At 34.9% G+C, this 18,887-nt stretch overlaps 1 protein-coding gene across 5 annotated transcripts in view; it reads right to left on the bottom strand.

Moving 5' to 3' along the window:
- Positions 1–18,887, bottom strand: part of DCC (DCC netrin 1 receptor) — a 1,195,703-nt gene that overhangs the window by 314,491 nt on the left and 862,325 nt on the right. For all 5 annotated transcript variants that reach the window (NM_005215.4, XM_017025568.2, XM_017025569.2 and 2 more), the window contains 3 exons: positions 16,045–16,193; positions 13,592–13,730; positions 5,812–5,861 (listed from right to left, as the gene is read on the bottom strand). In NM_005215.4, the coding sequence (NP_005206.2) occupies positions 5,812–5,861; positions 13,592–13,730; positions 16,045–16,193 (338 nt within the window). The remainder of the gene's footprint in view (positions 1–5,811; positions 5,862–13,591; positions 13,731–16,044; positions 16,194–18,887) is intronic.

Here is an 18,887-nt window from a genome sequence, read left to right as displayed (position 1 = left end):
TTTTCTCATTGATAAAATGAGACGGCTGGATAGAGAATGTCTAAAATCTCGTGGCTTCAAACATCTATGACTGTGTGGGGAAATGGGGACTTACTGGTGAATAGATACTAAGTTTTAGTTTGGGAAGATGGAAAATATTCTAGAGATGGAAGCTGGTGATAGATGTACAACAATGTGAATGTACTTACCACATTTAAACTGCACATTTACAAATGCTTAAATTTGTATTTAATTTAAAAAATTAAATTAAATTAAAAAATGGTAAATTTTATATAAAGTTGTTTCACCACAATAAAAAAGGATCTATTAAGTAAAAAGACAGGATGGAAGAGATCTGAAGATGAGTTCTACCCAAATTATAGACCAAACACAATCTTATCCTTAAGGGAGTCTCACAGATTCTTACAAATTATCTGATTCTTATGTAATATAATCATTTATATCCAGTCTAGTCTTTCCTACAAATTCCAAACAGAAAGACTAGACTGTAAGAGCCCCCAGGAAATATTGCCTTCCTTACAATTATGCTCCTACTCCCCACCCTTCCTAAAACTTTCAATCATAGGCCCCTGGACATTATCTATGCTTAAAAATCACCATGTAATGAATAGATGAAGGAATCAATAACTAAAATAAATATAAGAGATCTACACCTACTTGAATTAAATGGATGGATAACTAGGGCAAATACTATGCTCAGGCAGAAATGCTCTGTGTTATGATTGAGGACAAGTGTCATTGTTAAGCTTGTGAGAGTCAACATTGTTGTATTTAAATTGTTCATTAATAAGCAAATGCTGGTTCTAGTTTATCTTTAAATAAATACAATCATCTGCAGTCTCATATATATCCTCTTTCTCTTCACTAAATCCATTTTTTAAACCTACTACATTTGTGAGGAGAGGGCTCAGAGCTCTGGGTCCAGGAACTCAGCAGCCAAAGTGTATTTTATAAAGGACTTAGGGAGACATGAAGAAGCATGTTTTTCCATGGGCTGCCTGAGGCCTATGACTCCATACAACATACAGGAGAGAAATGAACGTTGACTAGAAGAATGGTGAAAGCAGAGAAGTGGGTCCAGACCCCTTTTCTAAAAGTATGTTTTCAGAGAGATTGTCACGCAGCAGGGAGGTGTGTGAACTGAAACCCCTTCTGAATAACCAAGAGAAGATAACCCCAATTTCAGAAAAAAACAAAACAAAACTGAATACACACATACACATACCCCAGACACAGAGGATCTGCAATTTAATATCATAACTCACATTTTTTCCTTGCCTCCAGCTTTTCCCCATCTCCTCCCTTCCCACTAGGAGTCATATGCAAATGACTCACTCAGCCACCCACTTGGCTATGGACTTGGCTAATAAGAGAAGCAACACCAGCCCAATGACAGGGTATAGAGACTTCCATCAAAATCCAACAAGTTGCACCACATCCTCAAAAGCATGTCCTTCTGCAGTTATCCCATAATACACTTAGATTTCCTCTGTCTTGTTACACACAAACACACACAAAGAATGTTAAAATATCTGTTAAAAATGATCAGTTTGCTTTGCAGAGTAGAAACTTGCTGTTCTCCTACTGTATAGTTTTTGCATAAAGGAAATCATATGATTGCTGAACTCAGGCTTGAGTTATTTAAGCATGCCAAGTTGTGCTGAAACAAGGGAGAGTGAGACACTTTAAGACGTAGGAAGGCACTAGAAACTTTTTCTTCGGTTGCTTTGAAGGCACCATGTACAATATCAGATTGTGAGTGACTGAGTACCAGCTTTTAGGAATGCAACAAAAAGACATTCACATAGATGCATCTGGTGTTCAAGAATAAGGATTTCAACAGCAGAGAGGTGTGAGGTGATATAATGAGAGGAATCCATCAATTTGCATTTAAAAATTTAAATCTGAACAATGATCTATGCCTCATAATATACTGGGGTTTTGGGGGGAAAGGGGAGTTAATACTTCATTCCTTGCAATCACTCTGTAGTGCTCAGTCAATATATATCTGAACTAGTGAGTTGACTGGTATACTGAAATTGATTTGTGTTTTCGCTAATTCTTTAACAGTAAAATGGTTGAGAAAAGGTATAATGGTTAGAAACACAGGCACAGATGTTTGAAGCCACAGGAGATTTTAGAGATTCTCTATCCAGCTCTCTCATTTTAAAATGAGAAAATAATGTCAACTTTGAAAGGTTCAACAGATTAAAGTGGCTAGAGGAACAGTGAATGTTCTTTCACGTTTTCCTACCCAACTGTGAGCTGCATGAAGGCAAATTCTAGATCACATTCCTTATTATGTATGACATTAAAACAGGTACAGAGTAAGTGTTGAATAAATAAAACTGAGACACGTGACTTTTCACAGGTTCAAAGAGTTAATAAAAGGACCCAAGCAACTTGAATTCTATCATCCTCTAAACATTATTACTCATCAGAACTTTTAGATTGAAACATAGGGAAGTATTAATATTTGTGCCCCAACATTAGCTCTCTGCATTCTGTAAATGTATCCTTTATGTTCCAGCCAACTAATTAAGTTGTAGTATGTATTTGAAATATATAATAACTGAATCAATAATAATTGAATAATAATTGAATTTCAAATTAAATTCTTAAGGAAATTATTCTTATAAAAAGTTTTCCTAATAAAACGTAACATTTTAAAGTCCATTTCATAAACCATTATCTTTTTCTGGAAAAGATACTATTTCTTGTAACAAAATTTTAGTATGAGAAATAACCACCTCACTATGACCCAGTTTCACCTGACATGTAACATGTGTAAGTCAAGCCATTAGTACAACAAAAAACTTGTGTTCATAGTTAGCTTGTAGAAAAGGAATCTAATCTGTTCTGCTATTACAGCTTTGTAAAAATATTCTACCATACTGGGTTTTCAAGAATGATACAGTAAGAGAATTTTGTTCTTAGTTTCATTATCTAGATGTGTAAAGACTTCTCTGCTTAATTATTATGGAACATGATTTCTGGGTCCAACTGGCTTACGGGTGACCAAAACCTTAACGAGTACCTAGATTGTGATCATATGTCTTATAACAACCCCTCAGTTTTATGTACAGAGATCCTAATAATCTTTCTGCAAAAATGTTAGTTGCACCAAGTTATTTCATTTACTATCAATAAAAAAATCAATTGTGCTCTATATTTACAAATATGATATAGAATACGTTTTCAAAGTGTGTTCTCTTCCATCTTAAAATCCCAAGTAAAATAAATTACGTAAAAAATTCATGAATTGAGCATGGTCACTCATGCCTGTAATCTCAGCACTTTGTGAGACCAAGGTGGGAGGATAGCTTGAGGTCAGGACTTTGATACCAGCCTAGGGAACATAATGAGACCCTGTCTTTCAAAAAACACAAAAATAAATTAGTCAGTCATGGTGGTTGCATGCCTGTAGTACCAGCTATGCTAGAGTCTGAGTCAAGAGGATCACTTGAGCCTAAGAGTCCAAGATTGCAGTAAGTCATGGTTGTGTCACTGCACTCCAACCTGGGCAACAAAGAAAGACCTTGTCTCTAAAGAATAAAAAAAATAAAAACACCCTGGAATTCTGTTAGTATTAAAAAAGAACACATTATTTATTCAACTATAATGTTTCTTTTTAAATACAGTTTGCCCCTTGAAATGGTCACAGTCAGGGGTAAATATTAATATATTTTAAAACTTTTCATCTATTTCAAATAAAACACAAATATCAAAATAGAATATTACATTTGCCTTTGTCTGAATCAATACACTGAGAATGCAAAAAGTGGTGTTTTGATCATCCAGTTTCTTTTCTCTTGAAAACAGTCTGATATAAAAATTTATAATTCATAATTTCTTAGAAGCTATGAAATAAGATCAGAGAGAGAAAAAGGAGAGAGGGAGTGTGACTTTCCAGTGCCTGGGCATAGTATTTTCATTCTGAAAAGCGAATGAACAATTTAAACTTTCTAGCAGTGCAATGTTCCAGATATCAACTACAAGAGGATAGAAGTAGAAGTGTTTGTATTTGCTTGCTGCAAGCAAGCAAATTAGAGAAGAGTAGAAGCTGTGATATTTGTGTGTGTGTGTGTGTGTGTGTGTATATACATATGTGTGTGTGTGTGTGTGTGTGTGTGTGTGTGTGTGTGTATAATATATATAGTCAATTTTGCAATCCAGGAATTCCGTCTTCAGTAAAGTACATCCATATTCAAATACAGTTAGCATCCAGGGTCATTCAGTAATGCCCTATACACGTTTCAAGTGAAAACATTCATCTTTTCCTGGAGTACACTCTTAAAGGGTATGAACACACAAACACAAAATAGCTTGTATATCAATTTCTATATTCTGTCCTGGAGGAAAAACATAAAGTGAGTGAGGATTCTAACAATGATGAATTGTTAAACAAGAGACATTACAATATGTTTTCCAAATTTCATTCATTAACAACATACAATAATTGTAAAAATCTACTTGACTTTGACTTGGCAATCTCTTAATTTAAGTGGCACATCTCTAAAGCAGTGTTGTTGCAGATAAAAATGTCATTTGTAGGGTTATGTTAATTTTTGATTATTTTCCTTTAGCTCATTTTTTCCACTAAGTTTAGTTATTTTCTTCTAATTTTATGTTTGCTTTAATAGTTCTTATCCAACATATTGCCTAAAAGTATAAGAGAATAATGCATTCACTTGCTTCAAAAGATAAATTCATTTGACTGAGACAAATCCAATTAACATCACAAGATATGGCTTCCTCATAGATTTTTTACAAAATATGACAAGGCATTTGCACATGGAATGAAGGAATCACTATCAAGTCAGATTCATCGCATACATTTTACTATTACTTTCTCATGATAAGTCAATAAGGAAGATAGTAATTCTTAGGATACTTAAACATAGAAAGAGGTTTGCTAAGGTTGAAAACTTTGCTAAGACCAAATAGTTATGAAAAGAGAAAGCTAGATTTAAAACCCAGAGTATGACTTTTTCTAAGACCTGTATCATTTCTCTGCTGTCTCCCAGAGCTTAGAAATCATTTAGGCCAATTTCCTCACATGAGAAGTACCTAACTGGAGGTCCAAGCATAGTGGCCAGGTGGTGACAGGGTCAAACCAGGTGAATCCTCATTTGTTATACTCTACTAGGTGGCCTTGGCTTATTTCCAACCCTGAGTCACTTGAAATAATGACATGTTTCTAGAAAACTGACCTCTGGCATTAGGCTACTTCAGCAATACTAGCCTAAGTTGAGCTCCTTTGGAAGTCATAGCAACATTCCAGGCCAGGAAAGTTCTAACAACTAGGTAACATCGCTACATAAATATAACTGTATTGAAGTTCAAGAATGGCCTTCAATGACTACATTTATAAAGGAAGAATGGGGATGATGACGAAATATTCAATTCTAAGTAATGTGTTAGGAAACAGTCTTTCTTTCTCCTAATTATTTCAATTTCCTCATCTAGCACATCATCATTGCTATATGATAGACTGGTGAATATAGACGAAGCAGATGTCTTTGTTTCCTTATGGAATAGCCTTTGGCCACTAAAACATTCACAAAATCAATGTTTGTTTAATATTTGTAAATCAAAATATTTGTTTAGAAGTAGACAAATATTTCATTTAATTTACTTAAGTCTGATGGAAGAGGATGTGGGATCAATGTCACTTGCTGTGTTGTTCCAGAACATTTCTGCACATGGAAGCCACTATCCTGTACTCAAGACAGCAGTTGGGTGAGTGAAGGTTATACATGATAGGTAATCTTGATAGGTAATGGAGTAGTGAACATTTAGCCAACTTACTCTTGAATTGACCACTTCCAGGGAGACGTTCTGAGGCGGGGCACTTGGCACTAAAAGGAATCAAACAAATTGTCACAGTTACTGCCAAAATCTTGAAAGAAAAATACCACCTGTCTAGTAAAAAGAGAGTGTGGTTTTGTTTATATAGTTTATAATGATAATTAGGTAGGTTAACCCAGGTAGTACTTCAAAAATTTTTGGAGAGATGAAAAATAACTGTATTTGTCTATTTTTTTTTTCTCATTTCGCTAGCCAGTTAACTTACCTATGTAGGGAGCCCCTAAAACTGTTACGCAAGAGAACGCGGGCAGTGATACCAAACACCACCATTTAATTACAGCCCTCTTGTGATAACTTTCCCAGAGAAACCAATAAAAACACACAGGAGATTTCTTACAGTAGTTTTAAAGGCTTAAGATATTGCGCATTTCAGAATCTGCATAATTTTATGATAAAATTTGTCATTCTAATGGTCAGCCAGGTTTCTTAATCCCTGTAATGCAAACTTTATTAGCTCTTAAAAAGTGAAAAGAAGAAATACTTCTCAGTTCTTTTAGCTGTGTAAAATTAAACCTTATGTGATAAATACAAGCAGGTTGCAAATAGCACTTGATGAGTCAATTCTATTAGCAAAGCAGCAGTATATTTTTCTTTGTAGAGTTTCTAGGTACGGTATTTTGTTTTTCTTGCCTACATTTTTATTTAACTACTCCTTTATAGAAGGAAGAACATATACAGCTCTCTTTTAATACTTATAATAAATATTTACTCTACCAAAAAAGTGAATATTCTATCATGTGAGTAATTTAAAAACAACCACTTATTGAATGGCTTTTATGTGTCAGGAACTACTCTAGATGTCTGGGATGAAAAATAAATGAAATAAAGCTTTTTGCCCCATAATAGGAATAGAAGTAGCATTCAATAAATTGTTAACACATATTAATCTATAAAGTGAGTAGTCCCTATCCTTGTTCCTCACAAATAGATGAGTTTAATAGAAAAGTTCTCAGGCATTTTCAAGAATCTAAGGGCCATTTTTGACATCTTTCCCCTTCTTTTACTAGAATTTGGAAAAAAATCTATGTTTTTCTATAGAGTACTTACATCTGACCATGAATTTATTTATGCCATACTCTGAATTTATCTTCTAAATAGTAATTATCATGAAGACATGATGTGCCACCGATTAATCTTTTATCTTCCAAACTGACATTCAATTAATATTTACTGAATTAATGATTGAATGAGCAAATGAGTACTTACTTATATAGTTCTAGACCTTTCTGGGAATAACAGAAAATGAAATCTTTTTTTTTTATTTTGATTTTGAACTTCTGATCTTAGTGCCTGATGAAGGTTGCAGCCAGTGTAGTTTCTGACAAAATGCTCATCTGCTTGTTTTTCATGAATTAACTCAGCAAGTATTCTTTCAAAAATATTCCACAATTTATAAAATGTTATTTAATTTTTTGAGATTCTTATTCTGATTTTAAAATTAAATACAGAATGTAACCCCAATAAGGAAAAAGATATTTATTCATTTTGATGTTGTATCACCAGTATCAGGAAGAGTTGAAGGCACATGGTGTACACTCAGTAAATAGTTGCTGAATAAATATATTAATAAAAAGTTTATAAATTATAATAAAAATGGTTCCATATTCAGGGTTTGGTCCCAAGTTTTGTTTTGTAAATTTTTAAGTTAAAGTATAAATTGTACTTGTATTATTATTTAATCTATTCTAAACGTTATAATTATTGACATAAAAATTACAATTTAGTTTTTTAAATTGAAGTACTATTTGTAGAATAAAATAACATGCTCTATATCATATAATTTCACAAACTTCCAAAAATGTTATCCTTTAAAAGCAAAGTTTGGAAATAATGTCTTAATATTAAGTGATATTGAGTCACTTCTTTTTTTTTTTTTTTTTTTTTTTTTTTGAGACGGAGTCTCGCTCTGTCACCCAGGCTGGAGTGCAGTGGCACGATCTCAGCTCACTGCAACCTTCGTCTCCCGGGTTCACACCATTCTCCTGCCTCAGCCTCCCAAGTAGCTGGGACTACAGGTGCCCACCACCACGCCCAGTTAACTTTTGCACTTTTAGTAGAGACGGGGTTTCACCATGTTGGTCAGGCTGGTCTCAAACTCCTGACCTCGTGATCCACCCGCCTCGGCCTCCCAAAGTGCTGGGATTACAGGAGTGAGCCACTACGCCCGGCCGAGTCACTTCTTAAACATGAAAGAATATTTCTAGTTTATATTTAATGTTGTAATACTGACATGTCATGCTATATGTTTCTAATAATATTACACTAACTTTTTGATCAATTAGTATCCAAACATAATATCAATTACTAACTGAATTTTTGATAGATAATTGAATTTTGGAAGAAAGAGAAGGTAACATTTATCATGTGTTTTGTTGTAGGTACTGTTCTAGCTGATATGCAACCCTTAAATGTCACTTTCATTTGAGTTTACAAGTGGCATTTAACTCCTTATTTCTAGAAAGCCAAGAAAACTTTAAGAGGATAGATATATATGTGTTCTTTTTTCTGTAGCTACCACAATTTTATAAGCATCAGGGCTGTTTTCTGTATTAAGAATTGAAAGGCAGGCTGGGCATGGTGGCTCACACCTGTAATCCCAGCACTTTGGGAGCCCGAGGGAGGTGGCTCACTTGAGGTCAGGAGTTCGAGACCAGCTTGGCAAATAAGGTGAAAATCTATCTCTATTAAAAATACAAAAAATTAGCCTGGCGTGTGGGTACACTCATGTAGTCCCAGCTACTCCAGAGGTTGAGGCAGGAGAATCACTTGAACCTGGGAGGTGGAGGCTGCAGTGAGCTGAGATTGTGCCACTGCACTCCACCCTGGGCAAGACAGTGAGACTCTGTCTCAAAAAAAAAGAAAAAAAAAAAACAAGAATTGAAAGGCAATAAAATACAATTCTGCTAAAAGTCCTTTTGTAATGGTATTGAAGTAGTTTTTCTGTATTTTTTTACAGTGCACATTTCTTCTCTAACTTTCCACTGATAGCACACTGGCTATTGTTGTCATGTCAGGGAGGAGAGTAGAGAATTTTTTCTACAGTATTTTTAGTGATCAGTTCCTACTCCCTCCTTCTCACTATCAATTTCCATATTATTTGGAGATAGATAGATACAATAGATGCTAGGGCTAGGTGAAAGTGAAGAGAATCCATATCGATTGTTCTTTTCTATATTTGTCTTCCCAAGACGCTTCTTGTTTCATGAGGCAGAAGTGAAAGAACACTTTTCTCTTCAAAATGTCAAATAATTTATTATTTATAATAAATAGGTCCATTCAAGCCAATGAGAGGTGGGGCTGGAAACTTCCCTCAATATGGAGAAGGATGTTGGCTTGAAACTCATGGAGATGAGGTATTTTGTAGGACAGATCAAGTCCCCATAATTGTAAATGAGTCTCCCAAGGCACAGGCACTTGAATTCCTCCCCTCAGCAAATGTATGCTGCCATGTACACAGAATTTATAGACCAAAATAATTCTAATTTATTTTGAGACAGAATTTCTCTCTGTTGCCCAGGCTGGAATGCAGTGGTGTGATCTAGGCTCACTGCAACCTCCGCCTCCCAGGTACAAGTGATTCTCCTGCCTCAGCCTTCCGAGTAGCTGGGGTAACAGGTGTGCACCACCATACCTGGCTAACTTTTAAATTTTTATTGGAGACAGAATTTCACTATGTTGGCCAGACTGTTCTCGAACTTCTGGCCTCAAGTGATCTACCCACCTCAGCTTCCCAAAGTTCTGGGATTACAAGTGTAATTACTGCCCAGCAGTAATTCATATTTATTTTATATTTATTTTATTTTATTTTATTTTTGAGACAGAGTCTCGCTCTGTCACCCAGGCTGCAGTGCAGAGGCACGATCTCGGCTCACTGCAAGCTCCACCTCCTGGGTTCACGCCATTCTCCTGCCTCAGCCTCCCGAGTAGCTGGGACTACAGGCGCCCGCCACCACGCCCAGCTAATTCTTTGGTATTTTTAGTAGAGAGTGGGTTTCACCATGTTAGCCAGGATGCTTTAGATCTCCTGACCTTGTGATCTGCCCGCCTGGGCCTCCCACAGTGCTGGGATTACAAGAGTGAGCCACCATGCCTGGCCAGTAATTCATATTTAATTATAAGCATTTTCCTTTAAAGGCACTTATCATAGAATAAAAGAAACATGTTTCCACAATGAATCTTGCCTCTGAATTTACTAGCTTATGTGGTCTGGCTCTGCTGCTTACTACCTGTTGTGAACTCTTTCTGACTTAGTTTTGTCATCTGTAAAGTAGGGAAAATTTTAGTAGTATCGTGAGGATGAAAGGTAAAGGCAAAGTACTTGGATCAGGGCCTTCCATTAGTAAGTATTCAAGAAATATTAATAACATTCATAAAAATAATAAGCACATTCTTATGTTGCCTATGAAATCAGGTCCTTCTGCATTTGGACACAGGACAAGCTGGCATGGAAACTTTCAATGGTTCATTCGTTCATAAAAGCTCTTAGTGACTTACCAACTAGTGCAAGAGACAGTATTTTGGAACAAATTGGCAAAATTATTTAGATGATCATATGCTGTATAATCTCAGTGGTGTGAAAAAAAAATGGCTCATTGTAAACCAGTGGTTTTCTAGGTGGAGGAATTTGAATAAAAAATAAGGTTTCTACTCAGAAAATAAAGCCGAGCTAAATTAGAGATGACAGCTCATCTGGACAAAGATCTTTACAAGCATCCCAGTAGAACAGGGAAAAAAAAACATAAAGTAATGAAATTGGAAGAAATGTATTTACACTTAACTTTTGCTTTTTTAAAAATTTTTCTATGTCTCAATATATTTTTTATGGTAAGACTCCTGATATGAAAAGAATTATTATGTTCACTATAATACAGATGCATTTAGACACAGTCATATATTAAATTAATATATCAAATTAGTTCCACAAATGGGAAATCCTAAAGATAAGCCTTTGCATACAGAAATTTGCACAGTTTTGACTGAGCTGTCTAATTAATTCGATAAATATTTACTCAGGAAGAAAACAGAGGTGAATATAACAGCATCCTTCATATTTAGGGGTATTTAATATTAATATAATGAGAAAAAGTGAAGTGCACTTTGGTAGAGATAATGTTTATTAAACACTTAAATGTCATACACTTTGTTAGATGTTTACACAGATCAGCCCATTTAATTTTCACAACATCCACCTGTTACAACATACATAAAGTTAACGAAGAAGAGTGCTCCATGACTGAAGACTGGGAAGCAGGTGACTATTAAATGTGATTAAATACAACTCAATGTGATATATGACCTCAGCATGAACAGCTTCAGGACAGAGGAGGAGACATGAGATTGAAGTAGACAGAAAGGAACTGGATAATAAGGAAATGAAAGCCAAGAGCCACACATTTGTGTTGGACATTAAAAGAGATGGGTTGATTGTAAAAATGAATGCAAACGAGGTCACGGTGTCCACTCTAAGAAGCTTATAAAGTCCTTGCTATCTCCTTTCAGTGCATTTGAGAGAGAGAATTTGGTGTCCTTTGCACAGTGATGTTTATTGGGGTTAGGGTCACGAAATACTTTTTTTATACTGACAGACACTGTCTAAGTCCTAAACATTGTAACATTTCCAGAAGATAATTCTTGGACTAATGAATAATAATCTATCTTTCTCACTTATGACATTTAAAACCAAAGTGGAGAATCAGGCCACAGTATTACAGTTCAGAGTGAATGAAATCTACATAAATTATGTAAAACATTCACTTTCATTTGTTTTTCTTTTATTTTTATAATTATAAGTTGTGAAGTAATTTATTCTACCAATAAATATTCTGTTCTGTCTTCAATAACAGAATTGGATGGATGGGCCTAAGAATTACATTAAAAATGATACCAAAGTGGTATTACGTATAAAATACATTTTAAAGTTGAATTTGCAAATGAGCATTATTCCTGTGTTCTCTTTGTACTGTCCTTAATAATATGCATGCCCTTCCTCATTTCACTGATATTGTGTGAAATGTACACCCAGGTACTTTCCCAGAATAAACAATGATAGATCTGTCAAGAAATCACAAGCTAAAGTCATTTTTTAATTAAAAAGATAAATAATTTATAGAATTAAACACACCAAATGGAAATTGTTGCTGAAAAGAGCTAGCTTGTGGCCTTTTTTAATATTCACAAGGGCCTATCGCTACATTTCTGCACCTGCCTGAGTTTTCGTTGGCCCCACATCATATACTTTGATGTATTTTATTTTCACTTTTTATAAAATTTCCCAACCTTTCATGATCATCTAGCAGTTAGGTTTCTAGTTTCCCCTGGCCATTATTTTGTCAAATTTATTCTCTTTATTAAGATTTGTTCCTCTCTTTTATGGCATTCAAAAACAGGTCTAGCCTGGGCAACAAAGTGAGACCCTGCCTCTGCAAAAAATAAAAATATTAGCTGGGTGCTGTGGCCTATGCCTGTAGTTCCAGCTACTCGGGAGGCTTCGGCAGGAAAATCCCTTGAGGCTGGGTGCAGTGGCTCACGCTTGTAATCCCAGCACTATGTGAGGCCAAGGCGGGTGGATCACTTGAGGTCAGGAGTTCCAGACCAGCCTGCTCAGCATGGTGAAACTCTGTCTCTACTAAAAATACAAAAACTAGCCAGGGGTGGTGGCATGCACCTGTAATCCCAGGTACTCAGGAGGCTGGGGGCAGGAGAATCACTTAAACCCGAGAGGTGGAGGTTGCAGTGAGCTGAGACTGCACCACTGCATGCCAACCTGGGTGACAGAGCGAGACTCCGTTTCCAAAAAAGGAAAAGAAAAGAAAAGCCCTTGAGCCCAGGAATAAAGGGTGTAGTGAAGCACAATTGAGTCACTGCACTTCTTGTCTCAAATGTGTGTGTTTGTGTCTATTCTTCCATTTAGTAGGCAACATACACATTTTTCATGCTCAATTTTAATACTTTAAATTTTAATATCAGCTTATTTGGCCTAATTCCTTTTGATATATTTTCTAATTAAGAGGTAAATATAGGGGGATTGTCTATCATTTACACCTTTAATCATCTGCACACTTTTAGATGGGGGAATAAAACATGCCAATCAAAATTAATCCACACATGCACAAATGTGTATTAGAAAATGTAAAGAAATAAAAAATACACAAAGTTTTAGCTCTTAGTCAATAGTCACATTTTGAGGATTACCTATTAGTATATACTGACTCAAGAGTATATACATATGTATATACATATATACATATATATTTATTTAATTTGGAGAAAGGGTCTTACTCTGTTGCCCAGGCTGGAGTGCAGTAGAACGATCACAGCTTACTGCAGTCTTGAACTCCCAGGCTCAAGTGATCCTCCAGAATGAGCCTCCCAAGTAGCTGGGATCGCAGGTGCATGCCACCATATCCAGTTAATTAAAAAAAAAAAAAAAAAACATTTACAGAGATAGGGTCTCACTATGTTGTTCAGGTGGGTCTTGAACTCCTAGGCTTAACTCATCCTCCTGCCTCAGTCTCTTAAAGTGCTAGGATTACCTGTGTGAACTACCACATCCAGCTGGGAGTATGTATCTTGATAGAAAGTTTACATTTAACTGTAATAGTCCATAAAATTTTAGTCAGGAAGCCTTGAAAATGGAATATATGATATATGTGCAATATCATGTCATTATTGTCAATATTATGTCAAATATGTAAAAGGAGTTTCACTGTTTTTAACTTACCGTCAGAAAGTGTAACCACTGTTATATCATCAGTAGAGACGCCCGGACCATAGCGATTATAAGCTAAGAATCGAAGACTATATTCGGTGAATTTTTTCAGGCCTTCCAGTTTATAAGATAGTCCATCAACCTCTATATTCTGGAGACATAAAACACCAAAACTGTTATCAAGGAAGCACATTAAAGTAGAAATGGCACTCATTCTGTGCAATCAGTGAATTGGACATTAGACTCTTACAAACTACACTCCAGCCTTCTAATGAGCTATAAAACCTACCTTGTGACACAGACTCCCCCACTAAAAACCAACTAATCTGTAGACTCCTTGTTAAAACAGCACATGCTATTTTTACAGTCATTAAGTTCCAATTTGTTTAACACTACTCAATGTACTGAATGGTTTGGGTTATTCTACCCACACCTAAACCCTCACAGGCAGAAGGCAGCTTATAACGCCATGGGAACAGAGATTTTCTCCTGTACCCAAAATGGAATAATTCACCAAGAAATAATAGATTTTGTGCTTCTCTTGCTGAAATATACCCACAGCTCTTGAAACTGTCAGACACTTTGCCACAATTTTTATCTCCCAAAATGCTGTTAGATTGGTTGAAATTATTTGAGCCTCTCATGGCTGCAGTAAATGAGATACTGGAGGTGAAGGTTACTGAGGAATCAGATCTTCACACTCACATCTATCTTGGATGATGATGGTTTTGAATTTATTTAAATTGGTTGGCAAAATGCGTTGAAGAGCTAAAATATATAGAAAGGCAGATAAAACAGAAAGTTGAAAAAACAAGAGCAAAAAATAGCTTGAAGATAGCAAGAAAAAAATACAACCCATGATTACATAGGAGGAGCTCTTGTAATGCTTATCTTATAATATAATTTGGGACTGGGCTTGAGCTATTTTTGAATATAAAATATTTCTTATTTTTAAGTAAAAATTCTGATCATGCAGTTTATGTGAAAGCAGGAAGGCCTTTCTATGCTTGACAAGCTTCACAACAAATAATAAGAACTCCCATATCCTGGGGCCAATTTTTGATTTAACTATTGAATATATACATGTCTGTATATATTTTCCTACATGAAGTTGAGAATCTGGAAGTAAATACCTCAACAGTCATACATATATATATGCATTATAAATATGTATACATATATTATATATATGTATACATATATGTATTATATATTATACATAGATATGTATTATATACATATAGATGTATAGATATGTATTATATAATACATACATGTATATATACATAGATATGTATTATATATAATACATGTATATACATAGATATGTAATACATATACATTATATATTATATATACTATATATAACACATACATATACACATATATGTATATATACATATATACATATATGTGTTACAATACATATATGTATATATACATATATACATATATGTGTTACAATACATATATGTATATATACATATATACATATATGTGTTACAATACATATATGTATATATGTGTTACAATACATATATGTGGTATATATGTGTTATAATACATATATGTGGTATATATGTATTATGTATAACACATATATGTATATATACACATGTATATGTATTATATATGTATACGTATATGTATTATATATGTATATGTATATATGTATTATATAATATATAATATATGTATATGTATTATGCTTATATATGTATTATACATGTATAATACATATACGTATATATGTAATATATATGTATTATATAGGTATACATATTATATATACACATATATATGAAACTCAATTTCTATTTTTAACATATGTGTGTGCATGTATCACCAAATAGAATTTTTCAGTTTCATGTGTCTCCCTAAAGACCTTTTTACTTTTAGTTTACCTGAACAGTTAATTTGCTTCTTTTCAGGTGTCTATGCTAACCATTGGGTAGGAGCAAAATGTAAGGAGAAGGAGACTAGGCTTCTCAGAGTAAGTTCTTCTGAAAACATTAAAAAATGGTAGGACACATCCTGATGATGGAAGGGAGTTAGATATAAATGTCTTAGAATGAAAAAAGCAGTTTGGCAAACGCCATTGACTAGGAGGGCAATCACCCCTTAGTCTAAGGAATAAAACTGCAAATGCCTTCCACGACCAGGTGAGTTAATACAAATCTGGTTGCCCACACACGCCAGGCCACTGCAGACTCAACCAAAAAATTGGTATCCTTTCTATTGACTTCACTTTATTGCCCATTTACCTCTTACCACCAGAATTTAATTAAATTGTGTAAAGTTTCCAATAACAAGTGCTTTAAAACTAATCAGCTTTTCAATGAATGTGTTAACACTGGGCTGTTTCAAGAGTTTGCGAGTCTTTTCCTATTTCTCCAGCCCTAGAGCTATCCAATGGATGGAAACATCCAACAGATGGAAGCAGTGTGGTCCATTCCTTCACCTACCTGTTCTTTTCCTGTGGACACCTCAGTGCAGAACAATCTGTAACCTTGGACTGGACCGTTTGCATAGGCAGGGGGTTCCCAGGTAATAAGAATTGAGGTAGGTGAGGTAGATACAGCTTGCAGGTTTTCTACTGGCCCTGGAACTTGCACTGTATAAAAAAATAATAAAGAAAGAAAGAAAAGTGATTAGGATAAGTGGGTTTTTGTTCTCAAAACAAACAAAATTACATTTTTACAGTTCAATAAAATTCTAGGAGTATGTATTTTAGAATAATATGGAATAAGAATATAAAAATATAAACTCTGGAAGCTTTAGAATCGCTTCATTTTAAAATTCATAAGAAAGCTTACATTAACCAAAATTGCCTATTTTATTTTACATTTAGAGAAACTGGTAAAGGAGTACAAGTGACTAAGATAATGGCAGCAAAGAGTGGGATTGTGAATCTAAATTCTTAGTCTGAAAAATTTGCCACTATGCCACTATGTCTTTGCCTGCACATGGCTAATAACTGCAGAAGGAAAAGAGAAAGTACATTTGGAGTACTTGTATATTATGGTTCTACTTATAATTAAAATAGGTCGCACAGCTATGGATAATTTACCACATTGTCTTTCTTTAAGTCAGAGTTTTAAAATCTTGCCTGATTCTGGGTTCATTAAATGAATTTTAGTGTTCCATTTTCAATTCCACTTTTTAGTATTACATTTTCTCTTATTATTGTTACTTAAGAAGGATAAATAACTTGTCTGCTAATGAAATTAGACAGCACAGATCCACAATCGTTTACCTAAAACACTTTTTTTTTTTTTTTCCAGAAACAGAGTCTTGCTCTGTTTCTCAGGCTGGAGTGCAGTGGCATGATCACATCTCACTGCAACCTTGAACTCCTGGGGTCAAGCAATCCTCCTGTCTCAGCTTCCTGAATAGGTAGGACTACAAGCATGCACCATCATGACCAGTTATTTTTTTATTTTTATTTTTTGTAGATACTGGGTCTCACTATGTTGTTGCCCAGGACAGTCTTGAACTCCTGGCAAGCGATCCTCCTGCCTTGGCATCCCGAAGTGCTGGGATTACAGGTGTGAGACACCACACCCAGCCCAGGTATCTTAAGATTTTGAAACTTTCAGATTTTAGAAAAGTAACATAGTATCTGTGCAGGGTTTTTTTTTCTTTTTTCCCTAATGGGGTCTGTAGTAGCACCCTGTTAATCAAATGTAACTATATATTTGCAGTAAAGCATATGATACTCATATCAAATTGTTTACATTGTTAATCAAATGTAACTATATATTTGCAGTAAAGCATATGATATTCATGCCAAATGGGCTCATTAGAGACTATGAATAGCCTAGCATGAGGTCAGGTCAGGTTCAGATACAGAATGTGTTAAGAAAAAGCTTCCATTTTGATTCTCTGCAAATTTTGTATTTTTTCATAATTTTGTATTCCTGCATATGGACCTGTATATAGCTTGTAAATGGTAAATGCAATGGCCACACTATGGTTACCTAAAATCAACAAATGATACCACCATTCCAGGTTTAACTACAGCCTTACTTAATAATGTTGTCTGTGTATTTTCCCCAGGCTTGGATAACACCTAGCTTTGGACAGATATACATTGTAGGCCTGTAATACAGTTCTGAGAGTTTGAACTTCCATAGCAAAAATGGCATAGGAAAAACTGACTGGCATGAATCTGTTGATACACTTCTTAGATCAGCGTGGAACCTAACAGCGTAACTCTGCATCATTTTTCAAGATTTATTCCATGGAACCCAGGCCCCTTATGGTATCACTGCTCATACATTCATTTGGAAAAATATTTCTATTCATGGCAGAACATGTATTAATGTCACCTTCACATATTTCCCATCAGTCCTGGAACCTTGAGATTCCTTGTTCTTAACACTGTATTTTTTTATCTTTACAAATTACTGTGTTTTTTTTCCTTCTTGCCATTAAAAAGGTATTAAATAATTTAAAACCAAAGGAAATTTTAAGAATGAGGATAGTGCATAGAACAGCCATGTTTCCTTTATCCAGACTTACCTATTGTCAACACTTTGAAATATATATACCAAAATATTCCTTTCTGTATAATTACATACACACACACACGCACACACACACACACACACACACACACACACACAAGAGAATCTATATATCATCAGAATAAGCTACCCAAATCATTTCTCCTTAATCCTAAATACTTTGGTACATATTTCTTAAAAATAAATGTGTATATGAATAGTATAGTTCTCAACTTCAGTGAATTTAATATTAACACAATACTTTTATCTAATCTTCATCTGCATTTTGGCAACTGACCAATAATGTCATTTGTGTAGCACTCCCCTCACCAATTTAGGATCCAGTTTAGGGTCAGGTTTTGTTGCCATGTCTTTCCAGGCTGCTGTGAGTTGGAACAGTACTAAATACATTGACTTTCAGGCAACTGATATTTTTAAAGAATCTAGCCCCTTTTTATAAATAAAATGTTCATCATTTTGAATGTGTCTCTGTCTCATGTTAGACTTAGGTTATGCATTCAGACAAATGAAATGTAAATGATCTGTTCTCAGGGCATCACATCCAGAGGCACAAGCTCTCTCTCTGGCCTCATTTATGATTCCAGAACTGAGTACTTGGCCAAGCAGAATTTGAAGGTCCCCTACGCCTTCCCAGCCCTCTACTCTACCACTTACAACTAATAAGCAACCCATGGGGAGATAACATTAGGACCATATAAATATGCTTGTTATCAACATTTCCCATAGATTTAGCATCTACTAATGGTTCTTGATGGAGTCCATTTCTAGCATGGTGGTTA

Source organism: Homo sapiens, chromosome 18, assembly GCF_000001405.40.
Source record: "Homo sapiens chromosome 18, GRCh38.p14 Primary Assembly".
NCBI classification, from domain to species: Eukaryota; Metazoa; Chordata; class Mammalia; order Primates; family Hominidae; genus Homo; species Homo sapiens.
This window is presented reverse-complemented; position numbering and strand designations above follow the sequence as displayed.